General features: G+C 41.0%; 1 protein-coding gene across 55 annotated transcripts in view, besides 2 other annotated features; it reads left to right on the top strand.

The window, feature by feature from the left end:
• The window catches only part of MBNL2 (muscleblind like splicing regulator 2), a 252,287-nt gene that overhangs the window by 76,948 nt on the left and 161,513 nt on the right, over positions 1–13,826 (top strand). For 26 of the 55 annotated variants that reach the window (NM_001382668.1, NM_001382663.1, NM_001382680.1 and 23 more), the window contains exon 1: positions 3,552–3,750. The exons of 14 other annotated variants lie outside the window; for them this stretch is intronic. The gene's annotated coding sequence lies outside the window, so the exon portion shown is untranslated. Of the gene's footprint in view, positions 1–2,655; positions 3,751–13,826 lie in introns of those variants that run through there. 15 more of the 55 variants (XM_047430004.1, XM_047430002.1, XM_047430006.1 and 12 more) reach the window with 5 other exon arrangements.
• Positions 3,574–3,633: an enhancer, noted in NCBI's record as "active region_7887". NCBI's record gives its function as "activates an Ori minimal core promoter by ATAC-STARR-seq in GM12878 lymphoblastoid cells {active_cell/tissue: GM12878}" and the evidence as "EXISTENCE:reporter gene assay evidence [ECO:0000049][PMID:35858748]".
• Positions 8,288–9,070: an enhancer, noted in NCBI's record as "OCT4-NANOG hESC enhancer chr13:97879323-97880105 (GRCh37/hg19 assembly coordinates)". NCBI's record gives its function as "activates a minimal SCP1, AML or CMV promoter by ChIP-STARR-seq in naive H9 embryonic stem cells {active_cell/tissue: H9 hESC(naive)}" and the evidence as "EXISTENCE:reporter gene assay evidence [ECO:0000049][PMID:30033119]".

Genomic DNA, 13,826 nt, shown 5'->3' on the forward strand with positions numbered 1-13,826 from the left:
AAAGAAAAAAGATTAAGTCCAGCTTGGATCTGTAGGACATTGTACCCATCAATTAATTCATTTAACATACATGTGTTACGGAGCGCCTCCACCGTGTGCCACGAACATACTAGATTAGATGTTAGAGAGTCAATTGTGACTTCTGAGGCCAACAGTCTGGCTCAGAAGGTAGACCTTAAGTAAATAAATAACAATAACCAAATTAATGTATAACCATCCCCTGTAATAAGTGCTATGAAGCAAACAACATCCATAAACATTTTGGTGCTCAAAGAATAGTCCGTGGACAAGAGCCATCAGTGTCACCTGGGAGCTTGTTAGAAAAGCAGAATTTCAGTATCCACCCAAGAACTATGGAGATGGGATCTGCATTTTAACAAGACCCCTGGGAGATTTGCATGCACATTAACATTTGAGATGCACTGCTCTGGAGTTCACAGGGCTATGAGAGAAAACAAGAAGTAGATCTGAACTCATCCTGTGGGTCAGGGAAGGGTTCCCTGAACAGACGGCCTCTGGCTAAGCTAGAGAAGCAGGCAGGGGCTACATGGCACAGAGCCTCATGGGCCATGTTGAGGGCTTTTATCTTTTTCCTAAAAGCAATCTAAAGAGAGTTAAAGGTTGTCTTAGTCAACTCAGGCTGCCATAGACTGGGTGGCTTATACAACAGAAGTTTGTTTTCTCATAGTTCTGGAGGCTGAAAGTCCAACGTCAGAGTGCCAGCATGGTCAGGTTCTGGTGAGGTCTCTGTTCCTGGCTTGCAGAGAGCTGCTTTCTTGCTGTGTCTTCACATGGTAAAGGGAGAGAGAAACAGGCCTCTTTCTGGTGTCTCAGAAGAACACAAATCCCATCGTGAAGACTCCACCCTCACGACCTCATCTAAATTGCCTCCCAAAAGTCCCATCTCCAAATACCTTCCTATTGAGGGCTAGGACTTCCACATATAAATGTTAGGGGGACACAATTCAGTCCACAGCAAAGGTTTTACACAAAGGAGTGTGGAAAAATTAGACTTTTGTTTTTTAATTCCTGTTCTGACTGAAGTGTGAAAAAAGGTTTGAAGGGGTCAAGAATATATTCAGGAGACCAGTTAAGGGGCTATTTAAATCATCATGATAAAAGATACCGATAGCTTGGACAAAGCCACTGGTAGAGATGAAGCAAAGTGAAACATTTCTAAATATTTAGGTGTTAAACCTGAAAGACTTTGATAATGGATTTCAAATGGTGGTTGAAGAAGGAGGTTTAAGAATGACTGCCAGGTTTTTAGCTCATGCAGTTGGATGAATATGATATCAATTCTTGAGATAGGAATCATGAAGTCAGCAAGTTTGTGCATGGCATTTTGCTAACTGCAATGAACAATGCATTTAGAAATACCAGTAAGAATGGCTATCATTAGTGAGCATTTATTATGTGCCAGTCACTGCATAGACATTTTGTGTGCATTATCTTAATTAATATACGACACAAGCCTTGATTTCTGAGATGGAAAAATCAACTCAGGCAAGCTAACTACAGAAGACTACATTGTTAAGGGTTTCAAAGCGTCTGGTACAATAAACAATACAGAATGCTTTCACAGGAGAACATCAGAGAGGGTAATGTGGCCACAGAAGACAAGACAGAATAAAGGGAAAGGTAAGCTGAGGTCTAAAGATTGAGTAAGGCAGAAATAAGCATGACTCCATCAGGAAGTTCACTTGGGAAAACAGTGGAGAAAAAGTTGAGTTGAAAGGGAGAGCCCAGATTATGAAGGCCCTTGAAAGTCTATAATTCAGATTTTATAGAGAGAAAGGTTTGAATGTGAAAGGAACATGACTTTACATGATTTTAAAAAACCCGTCTGGCAACAAGGGAGCTTGAAGATGAGGAGGCCTGAGTTCCAGAGACTGCCTTGTTAGCATTTGTGTTTTCCAGGTAATAGGTCAGAGTTCTGGCCTACCTGGGAGGGAAAATCAACAAGGCTTAGTTTCATTGGTTGAGAATGGGGGAATGTGTCAAAGATAACTGAAGTTTCAGGAATGGGATTCATGGAATGATAGTTTCAAAGACAGCAGAGGGAGATGAGGAAGAGGAGAATCACAAATCTGTTTAAGTATATTAATAATTAAAAGTAGTTTGTATCTGTTTGACCACAGAACTAATTTAAATTTCCAGAAGTATTACAGTAGATGAAAGCCTGCAAGTTAGGATATGTGATAGAATTACATGGGGAAGACAAAGAATGTAAGTATAAAAACTGAGGGGAATAAAGCATGGTAGTTATTGAAGAAAGTAGCCTAGAAATTATATGAAATATTATGTTTTTAAGATGCAATGGCAAAATAAAAAGAAAGCATTCCATTGCATTCTGTTGCTTCATTACAGATGCGCTGAACAGTTGCTTATAAAAATCGTGCATTGGGTTCAACCTTTCAGATGAATAAAGGCTTTGTTCTGTCTTGGTCTCATCATGTAATCATCATACTTTTTTTTTCTCAAAATGTGGTATTTAGGGGAGGAAAATGTATGCTTGTTGTGTTTGCTCAATGCCATATGTTTTTGAGTTTTTGTTTTCAAGGCATACAGAAATGCTGTAGACTGGGAAATAAATAAATAAATAAATAAATAAATAACCCTTCCTAAACTTTCTCTTCTTCTGCTTTATCTCAGGAAACTCCAGCACCTCCTAGAACATCTTTTGTGGAATGGCACCTCATGGGGGCCCTTGGATCATGTACCCCTTGTATTCAACAGTAAACATCTTCCTATAATCATTGCTTCATTAACGATAATGTGAGCCAATGCACAGTATTTATCAAATGGCATCTAAGATGGTTAAAGCACACCTAATCCTCTCGTGGGTGCCTGCCAAGAGTAGAAAAGGGTAGTGTATAGATATCAATTTTATTGTCCAGCATTCCCTAATCGAAGTCCCAAGTGGTCTGAAAACTTAGACGAAAGATAAATGGGCCGCAGTAATTAACCACTGCAATAACAGATGTTATACAGGAAACCTGTGTGTGCCAGAGCTATAAGCATGTTTTGATTTTGAATACGCACTTGGGCTAGCACATTCTTCCTCAATAATGGAAATATGTAAATGTTTTGTAAGGTATTAACTGCCATGGCAGACGTTGAATTATTTTTCCTTTAAAAAACATATACATATGCTTTGTCAGATAGTCCAAGGACTTCAGTTTCATGTACAACCTGGATTTCTTTGGAATCTGCGGAGTTTCACATTTTCCCAAGTGTTCACGGTGAAGCTCCTGGCTTCGAGCTGGCTGTCTTCAAGGGTGTTTTCTTGAGCTACCCCTCTCTCTGCTCTGCCAATTATGTGCCACTTTGTCTTGGTGCTATGATTGCTTTCTTCTGAGAGGGAAATTCCTCTTTCATCAGTATGGATGCACTGTTTTTACACACTGCAAGTGCTGTGTTACTGTGTCAGTCATCCTATTAGGGCCAGTTTCAGACGAGTAGGGCTGACGAGCTGGCTGGGGATTGGCTGGCCCCGGCTGGGAGGGATTTGTCGGAAGGAAGGGCTGCAGCTTACAGCAACAGAGTTTAGACTGTCTTTGCTTCATCATCTGAAGGTAAAATTTTCCAGATACGGCAGACGGCTTTCAGAGTACAATAAACAGGGAATGAGAACTATTTACATGGAAGTTTCTTTCTCATGATGCGGTGGAGAAGCCTCGGCCACTTGGTTCTGCCAGATGTTCCTGGGGTTACTGTAAATGGGAAGGACAGGCAGAGCTAAACAAGGTAGGAGAATCGCCCCCCTTTTTTGAATGTTTAAAGAGTTTGCTGCAGTATGCTGCATTCCATGTGTGCTGCTTACGGGAGCCAGGGAAACTGGATTCCACTAATTCAATTGTAATACTTGCGGGGGACCCTGGAGTTTTACGTAACATTTTGATTTGAGAAAAAGAAATGGCAAAGCTTGAATCTATGCCGCCTGTTTGGGGTGAGGCAAGAAATCGAGTTTTTATGCAAAGAATCGATTCATTTATTATATTATTTTTTAAAAACCATTTGAATTCTTTGGAGCAATCTTATTTTCTTGCTGTGAAAAATTGTTATATTGCCATAGCTAGTTCCCAAATAGATAAAGTTTACATGGATCCTATTATTTGAAAACAGACTTGCAATTAAGGATTAAAAAAAAATTCATGGTAAATAATCATCGGTTGAATGTTTGGCCAAACGTATGTGTCTATTTATTAAAAATTAGGGACCTACCTAGCTCTACAATGCTACAGCTTTAATTGAGTTTCAAAAGCACATTTTAAACAACCTAGCAAGAGGTAGCTTTCTGGCAAGTTTTCGATACTGTAGTTCAATGTTTACATTTCTTTTCCTGGCATGTCTGAGCCTTTGTTTCCAGCTTAAAAGTGGAACCATTATATTCAAAAGTAAAGCTGGGTTAATAATGCTTACTGCAATTATCTGATCTTTATGCATTTTTAATGAGAACACACAGCCAGCAGAATAATTTAATGAGGGCAGGCTAGCTTTTAAAGCTGTGTTTTCACTATGCCGAACCATATCAACTTTCTCGCTGAGAAGCAGCAGTGAGAAATGATGGAGAAGATTTATTTTTAACACACTTGGCCCAGGAGAAGGAAAGGATATATTTGCTAAAGAATTCTTTCTGCCCTTTTCCGTTTTAAATTTCTGCCAGGCATGAGGAAACTGTGCTTTTTTGTTAGGCCTCGGAAGCATGTGTTTACAATAAATGTGTAACATTTTTAGAATAGTTAGCAAGCACTGAAGCGAAGAAAAAAATCTGACTTGCCTAACCACCACCACCTTGAATGTTCTACAAGAAACATTACTGTCCCTTTAAAAGACAAAGGTTAAGTGGAAAGCTATTTGTTAATTGGGTAATGTGTGTGTTTTGGGGACAATAAGGTTTTTAAAAAAGGCAGGGGGAACATTCTTATAATCTTTAAATAAGAGGAAGTTTCTTCAGCTATCCTACTTGTTTTGCAAGGAGCAGTAGAACTACTCATTTAAATAAGGGCAATGCCACGTAGATTCTTCTAGACCCACTGTTTTTACTTTCAAGGAGAAGTGCAGGACACTAGCCCAGAACTTCTGACGTCATCCCCCAACTATTTCTGCTGTGTGTTCCTTTATTCGAGCTTGTGGAGAGGAATATTTCTTTATGTCCTGGCCAGGAACATTCTAACTCCCCACTGGCAGGACTTAAGTTATGTCTTTATATTTTCGCCTGTCTTTTGTAAATTGTAAACCTGTCCCCTCATAAATAGGGCATCTTCTTGTACCTGCCACATGTCGGGCCGGTCAGCACAGGTTTTCTGCAGGGCTTCTGGCTGGGCTGGCAAAAAGCAGCAGGGAGCAGGGCAAAGCTTTTTTTCTGGCCTGACTCCCCCTTGGTGCAGCCCAGCGCTGCCACCTGGGTGGATGGTCCCCGGGGCCCTATTCCCAGTTGCTCCAGAGCCACTATTTAGGATCCAGGTTGTGCCACCAAGTTCAAGGCTGGTTGTGATGGTGAGAACAGCTGCTTTCATAGAAAAATCATCATGTCCTAGCACAGATGGCCCCAAGCAGGGGAAGTACAATACTGCAGGCTGCAAATCCATGTCACAGGTGGCAACCTTGGTCACAGAGATCGGGGGAAGGGTAATGTTTACAAAGGAACCTTTTAAAAAAGATTTTGACTGGAGCACATTGGAGTTCTCGGGAGTTCCCAAAGCTAATTTGTGTCTCCTCTCTGACTACTCACGTAGTTTTGAGCAAGTGCCTACCTTGATTTTTCTGTCTTTTAATAGAATTGAATCATACTTGCTACACTTTCCCTCATCATTTAGCATTTTGAGACCTTGACCTTTTACCAAAAAAAAAAAAAAAAAAAAAAAAGTTGTTTGTCTCTTGGCACATTGAGCTATTTAAAGTACAAAGGGATAAAACCTCGGTATTAAGAAACTGTTGGCAAACACCTTAGAGTATTAAGATACATAGTCATATACACAAAACCCTTCACTCTACTTTGTGCTCATGTAAATTTTTTAGGGATACTTTTTCTTAGTTCAACAAATGAAATTTCCAAGGAAATCAAAGCGTTGTTGTTTGCATTTTTTCCATCGATCTAATCTAATATACTAGAAGCTCTGCAAAGCACACTATTCTGGCCACAGGCCTTGTAGTGCCCAAAACATTTAATGCTGTTTTTCCTTTGACTTTTGTGTTAAATTTGTGAAAGTGGAGTAAATAAGAGAAAAAACAAGAGGGAAGGAGAAAAATATGCTTGTGAAATATACTGGTTAGGTAGCTTTACTGGTTAACAGCCTGCCTTCTCTCTGCTAGTTGTTTCAATTTGCTGTTGCTATGGTGAAAACAAATCAATATCACATGGCTACCAGCCAGTCCCGCGCTCAGGGAGTGCCATAGAAATTCAAGATCAGGTACTCAAGATTCCAAGCAAGAATTGGGAAAAGAGGATTTAGATGCTGAGCTTAAGAGAATTCCTTATAGTAGAATAAGTAGGTTCAATCTCTCATGCATTTTCTCTTCCTTTTTTCCTGTACTTTCCTACCGATAACAAGAAAAAGATGAAAAGGAAGGTATACTGATTTGTTTACATTTCCAAAATGACAAAACAGATTATCAACATAGAAATAGGTTGGCAACATTGCAAGGGGTGAAGGATTCTGATTCGGGAAAAGGTGGATAACTACAAGACATGTTGGTTGTTGAAAACATAGTTTTGGGGGCCTTTACCATCTTCAGGTACAGCTACATGTCAGAGCTGGCTGGGTTGTGCCAAGCAGAGAAACCTGGCAACTCTAGGGGGCAGGTGGGCAGTGGAGATAAAGGGGGTTATAAAAAGGTAGGGAGGTGTGGGCATAAAAATCAACAAGCAAGAAAGCCCAGAGAGAGCTGCAGGTCAAGAGTCAGGCCAGGCAAGCACAGATCCCTGGGGCATGGCAGAACAGGAGAGGACAGTTCGCCCTGTTCACGAAATCTGCTCAAGACCCAAGCTAAAGGCCTAGCAAAGAAAGGCAGGAAATAGCTGCAAAGAGAAGTAAAGGTGTCATGGGCCCAGGCATCCTTTCCGGAAGGGTCGACTCAACTGGATGAGCATGGATGTCCACTGCTGGGGAGAGCAAAGAGCTTGATATTTTAATGCTTTGGTTTCTCTCAGAAGAATGAGGCAGGAAGACTTAACCGGGCTTTGTAAATTAGTTAACATACTATTTTTTTTTCTCCAGTTTTATACTCTTCTCAGTTTTTTTTTTCTTTTAAAAAATGTGCACAAACTATTTGTTGCAGCCGTGATAATATTCGTAGTAAAGAGCCAAAGGTGCTGCGTGGCTGGGTCTGCATCAGGCCTGGGCCTCCGACTGCACGGCTCCAACTACACAGTTGTTTATGGAGACCAGTCCCGGCCTCCTCTGCTGAGAGTAAAAACAGGTGTGAAAGGTAAGGCCTAAGGGTTTCTTTTGTAAACCTGAGCTCTGAGGCTGATGGACGAGTTTTGGGCTGGCCTGCCCTCCTCAATACAGCAGAAACGCTTGGTAATAAAAGTGGACTCAATAATTTACCTTAGTGTTTTGACAAAGAATGCATTGTCTGAATTATACTAGGTAGTATATTCCATCAATCAGTCAACAAGTGTTTATTAAACACCTCTGGGCTTCCCTGGCTTTTGCTATTTGGTGAGAAACCCAACTCAGTAACCTAATACCTGCCTTTGTGTGTGTGTACAAAAATAAATGATGCAAAATTGTAAGTTTCAAAGACTTGAATAACTTTATTGGCTAATATTAATTTAGCATTGTTAACCATCAGATTAATTTTAGGCTTGGGGCAGTTTTAGTGATTGGGGGAGAACAAGAGATGGACTTTTGAGTTTTAGGTATCTGTATGTATGTACTTTCTTGACCTCTGTTATATTTCTCCAGATAAGTACTGTTTAAATAACATATAAAGATGTCAGATGAGCAATAGATAGATAAGAATGGTGCAAAAAAAAATCAAAATATGAAGCTACTGAGAGCAATTTCTGAGTCTCAGCATACTGAGTTTTGGCCCCAAAGTGCCTGGGGAAAATGGACATATCATCTAAAAAGCTGTAAATACCAGCCAACAACAGGAAGTCTTAGACTCCTGTCCCACACTTCTGAGCTGCAGGGTGTGGGGGAAGCCCCATGCCTTTATCTCACTGTCTCTATCTCTAGCAAGGAAACCTGTTTCCTGACTCTGCAGAATTTCGCTTTCCCCCTTTTTCCTTAAAAGCAGAGTTACAAAAAAAAAAAACAAAAAAAAAATCAAAAAAAAAAAATATATTTCCTTTTGAAACACTAAGTTTTGGGTTTATTTGTTGGTTTTACCCTAACATCACAGTTAGTGTGTATTCTCTGGGCACAGACAAGCTGCGAGGTTCAGGGACGCAGCCTGGGGGAGAGCTGAGAGAGGAGGCTGAGGATGTAGCCATGTTTATAGAACTCTTTTCAGGCATGGGTCTTGGCAGACAGATGGGCAGGTCCAAGGTTTATGGGCATTGACTGCAAGCTGGTTGCTGTAGAAGAGCTCCAGGGTGGTACATGACCTCAGAGGAAAAAGGGAGGAGTCAAGAACACTGAAAATGCTGCGGCCGTTTGCAATCCACAATAGCAAGGAAACAAGATATTTACAAATGAGATAAGGATGGTTAAGCACTCAAATGTCTTCAGAAGGAGAATTAACATATGTGTAGTTTCTTACACTTTACAAAGGGCGTTCACAGGCATTATCTTAATTAGCAGTTCAAATAGAAAGTTAAAAAGTGGGAGTCTAAACTTAGGGCACTCTGGCAAGGATGTGCTGGGTAAAGCTGCTGGAGGAGATGCATTATAAACTGGATTTTTAAAACTTGGAGTTATTGATTTTTTTCCAGCAGCTAATTGACTTGAATTTTGAAGGACAGGAAAAACTTAGAACTGTCCCTGGGGGTGCACATGCTTGTCCCCAAATGCCTTCATGGGCAGCGTGTGCATTTAGACTAGACTTTGGGACCATTGGTAGCCTAGATGCCAAGGAAGAGCAAGAAGACAGGTTGATTTGCTTTGCTTTTTCAGCTCTGACTGCTAGGCATTCAAGCACAAAACCTGTGCTGGCTCTGCACCCCAAATGGTCACACAGAAGTAAGGTGCTTCTAGAACAGAAAATCCATGCGTAATTATGAATGGTCTGCAGATCTGGGAAAAACCAAAGTCTACAAGGAGACCAAAATTCAAAGCATTCAATTTTCCCATGAGAGCATCTCATTGAGTTCTCCTAAGCCTGTTACAGGGAGTTGGGGGGGAAATGAATATTTCAAGGGCATGTGTTAGAAACTGGCTGTTTTACATACATATCTCATATAATTTGAACCTAAGAAGAGCAGGAGAGCCCCACAAAGTTAATACTATCCCCAGCTGGCCAGTAGAAGAGAAGCTCTGAAAAGCTCTGACAGCCATGATCCCACAGCTAATACTTGGCTGAGCAAGTATTTAAACTCAGGCCCATAAGACCCCCAAGCTGTATAGGTAGGTGACATTATGTTTTTCAGCTGAACGAATGAAATTGAGGACATAAAAATAATTCATTTGCAGAAAAAAAAGCTCAAGGTGGAGGTAGGAGATTAATTATTTTAAAACTCTCAGATGTACTTTATATAGTTTACATTATAATATGCAAATACTGAGTGTACTAGTGATAGTAACATATATATATCTTACATGTATATATAATTTCAGTTTTTATATTTATTATCTTTTTTTTTTTTTTTTTGAGACAGAGTCGCACTCTGTTGCCCAAGCTGGAGTGCGGTGGCACTATCTCAGCTCACTGCCAACCTCTGCCTCCCAGGTTCAAGCGATTCTCCTGCCTCAGCCTCCCAAGTAGCTGGGATCACAGGCGTGTGTCACCACACCTGGCTAATTTTTGTATTTTTAGTAGAGACAGGGTTTCACCATATTGGCCAGGGTAGTCTCGAACTCCTGACCTCAGGTAATCCACCCGCCTCAGCCTCCCAGAGTGCTGGGATTACAGGTGTGAGCCACTGTTCCTGGCCTATTATCTCTTTTAATGGTCACATTTTGCCCTCTGTTTTACAGATTCAATGAAAACTCAAATTGAGTAAGGTTAAGCAATGTGCTAAAAGTCTCATTGGCCACAAAAGTAGAAATAGTAGTCCTCAAACCTCTGGGAATCCACACGTGATATTTAATGAGATAAATGAAATTAAACTTCAGTCTGACTTGGAGTTTTCTTTTAATGGATGTTGCGTAATTGAGTAGAGCCCAACCCAAGCAATTTTGAGAAGACAGTAATATTTTTAATTAAGATATTGAATTATTCTAAAAATCTATAAATTTCTGGCATCCTAGATGCAAGCTTCAATTAATCAAACTTAAAGTATTGATGCAATATATATTGTCTAAATGATTTACTACATATAATTTTCAGTGTTCTCAGAGTTCAGGAAAGTGGAGCTCAGTTTGGGTGGGAGTAAGAGATAAGGCTTCCCACAGGAAGAGCTGCCTCCTCTGGGTCTGAATGGATGTATTTGGTCTGGATCCATGTCTCTAATGTGGTATGTCCACACCCCGGGCCAAGGGCAAGATTATTCACTTGGCAAGGAAATAGGTGAACTTCCATCTTATATATTATTTAGCTCATCCTTTAAAAATGTCAGTTTTCATGGATGTTTGATAATGTGTGTAACATATTAGCAGGGTTATGCAAGAATAATATTTATAAAGTAACCATCCTTAGTGGTTGTTTCTGATCTAAAAAAAAACATTCTGATAAGAATGTATGATCAAAAATGTTTGGAGAGGCCAGTGGTCAAAATCTCAGGAAGGAGGAATAGCATGATGTGGTATAGTGGCCAGGAAGGAACCTTGACCTTGGAGATGGAGATGAAGTGTTAGGGTGCAGTGGGGAATAAAGTTAGATGGAGGGGGTGGAGTCAGGATATGAATGAGCTGAAGGGCCCTGTGGAAGAGTTTAATTTCATTACCTATAACATCACATCTAATGCTTTATAAAGATTCAATTGGGACTTGTAAGATAGGGTTAGAGGTCAGAACATTTGTAACTAGTGATGTCACCGGCTAGAAAACTTTCACAATATTCCAGGTACAAAGTGGAAAAGGGTTGCATTAGCATGACAAATGAAGGAGAAAGGGCAAATCCAAAAGGCATCTTGAAGGAAAAATAATAGAACGCAGTGAGAGCTTAGAAGAGTGAAACTGGGCCAGGCACAGTGGCTCACGCCTGTAATCCCAGCACTTTGGTAGGCCAAGGTGGGTGGATCACCTGAGGTTGGGAGTTTGAGAGCAGCCTGACCAACATGGTGAAACCCCATCTGTACTAAAAATAGAAAAATTAGCCGGATGTGGTGGCACATGCCTGTGATCCCAGCTACTCGGGAGGCTGAGTCAAGGTAATCCCTTGAACCCAGGAGGCAGAGGTTGCGGTGAGCTGAGGTCACGCCATTGCAGAAATTCTAGGAGGAGTGATATCAATGGTACCCTGACAGAAATGGGAGTGGTCTGAAAAAGGGACCAATAAATGGGAATAGGGTTGAAGGAGGGTGGGCGATGATGAGTTTTTAGACTTGAGAATGGTGTTTTTAGCTAATGATGAAACATCTAAGTGGAGATGTCTCATAAACATTTGACAATGTGGGAATGAAGAACAGCCTGGACAACAGGCTACAAATACAAGCTCAGACACACCTGTGTTGAAGCCGTAGTTGAAGCCATTGGTGCTCACACCTCGTGAAAGAAGGCAGCGTGAACAGAGATAGGCAATGACAAAGGATGAATCTTGGGGAACATGGCAAGGGCCCAAAAGAGAATAAGAGCTAGCAAAGAATCAGAAAAATAAATACCCACAAAGGAGCAAAATTGTTTTTAAAAAATGAACAACCAATACTATTAAGCACCATAGCCTAATCTCCAGGATTCCATAAGAAAACAGTGTAGTCTCCTGGGTTGAACTACTCTCCTGCACATAGCTTTTCCTCTCTGGCAAGGGTTTCTGGCTGTGGTCCTTTTGGGGCAAATATTGGTTCAGAATCTTGTTTAGAGCCACAGAATATTAGATAGTTAAGGGAACCTTTGTAGCTGTATCTCTCGTATATACAGTTGACTTTTTAAAAGTCGATCTTCACTAATAAGCAGAGAGAGTATTTAAAAACCAATAATTATCAATACTTCTGCATCCATCTCTCAAAATGTATATATTTTGGGGATGTTACTGGTTAGAACAGTAATTCCAGAGTGATTGGAGATATCACTTGACACTTGTCATCCTGTTCTCAAAGACCCTGGGGATTCATTTATTTCTGATTCTAGCAGTTCTCAATTGAACCCAGCCATAAGGACTTCTCTGAAGAAAATAGCCTTTCATGATGAGAAAGTACTTGAAGTATGCAAATAGATTGATGCCGTCACACCAGACACCTACCATAAGTAACCAGACAGCACTTCTCAAACTCTCATGTGCCTGCGAATCACCTGGGGATCTCATTAAAAATGTAGACTCTGATTCAGTAGGGCTGGGCTGAGGTCAAGATTCTACATTTGTAACAGGCTCCAGGTGATAAAGCTGATGTTCATCCAGGAGGCTCCAGAATACAATAGCTGCTTTGGAAGTGTCACTGCCACAATGTGAGTGGCAGCAGATCACTGGGTCTGGGATGGCTCCTTGGAGGATCTTCTGGCAGTCTGGAGACTGGGACCTACCTCCTCCACACAGCAGGTCTTTCCAGGCTGTTCAGCCTCAGAGTGAAGCTGAGGTTGAACTGATATATCCCACCAGCCTTGCACCAATGTGGCTGGGGCTGAAGGCATGAAGCCAGGGACTTCAGCAGCTGCAAGCAGTTCTGTGACTACACACAGCCTGTCTCTGGCTATCTCCCCATTCCCGAGACGTCTATCTTCTCAGTGGACACAGACTCTCACAAGTTCCCCAAGAGATTTGGTTACTGCCTCCAGGGAAGGCTGTTGTGTTTATCTGTCTGCTCCAGAGTTGTTTTTTTTTTTATTATCCTAAGGAATATATGCATTATAAACCGGCCTTAGATTCCTTTTCTTCTGGATGGTGGTCAGAACTGGAGCCCAGAAGTCTGATGTGCCTACTTGCATCCTCACATCCTTGGTGAATTAGGTCCAGGAGCTCTGACACATTCATTCCCTAAGATGTAGATAGCGCCATTCTCTCCTCCTCATCTCCAAAGAATGTGAAGGATAGAGAGGAAGGGTTATATGCCATTAACATCGCATTTATTTAAAAAATGCTAGTTTTAAAGTCTTGTAATAGAAACGAAGACATTATGAGAAGAGACAGCTGTCTAACGAAGTAGCTTAAGTGAAATGCCCAGGCCTGATTGTTGAGTCTCATACCTTGTTATAGGTCATCCATCTCGTGCCCCTGTCTGTCCTCCCTCCTTTCAGATGCCTTGTTTTCCTGTGTGTCCCACATGTGGCCCCCTCTTTCCTAGAACCAGGAGTCAAGCTAAACTGATTTAGAGGAAGTGTTCCCTACCCAGATGCTCATTTAGTCCACACACAGATGGCCGGTATTTTTATGCATTTTTAATTTACCAATAACCTTTTAGGAATGAAACAGAACTAACATTTATTGAATTTATTGAGCACTTACTATATGGAAAGTCCTCCTCTGCTGATAGCTTCCTGTATATCAACTCAGTTAAACCTTTTCATGAAGAAAATGAAGCTTAGAGAGACCAAGTTACTTGCCAAGGTTACAGAATAAGGGGTAAAACTCAAGATGGTAGGATGGAAACATGCAACCCTTGTCCACCAGTTCTTACTTGG

Source organism: Homo sapiens, chromosome 13 (assembly GCF_000001405.40).
Source record: "Homo sapiens chromosome 13, GRCh38.p14 Primary Assembly".
Taxonomy (NCBI): Eukaryota; Metazoa; Chordata; class Mammalia; order Primates; family Hominidae; genus Homo; species Homo sapiens.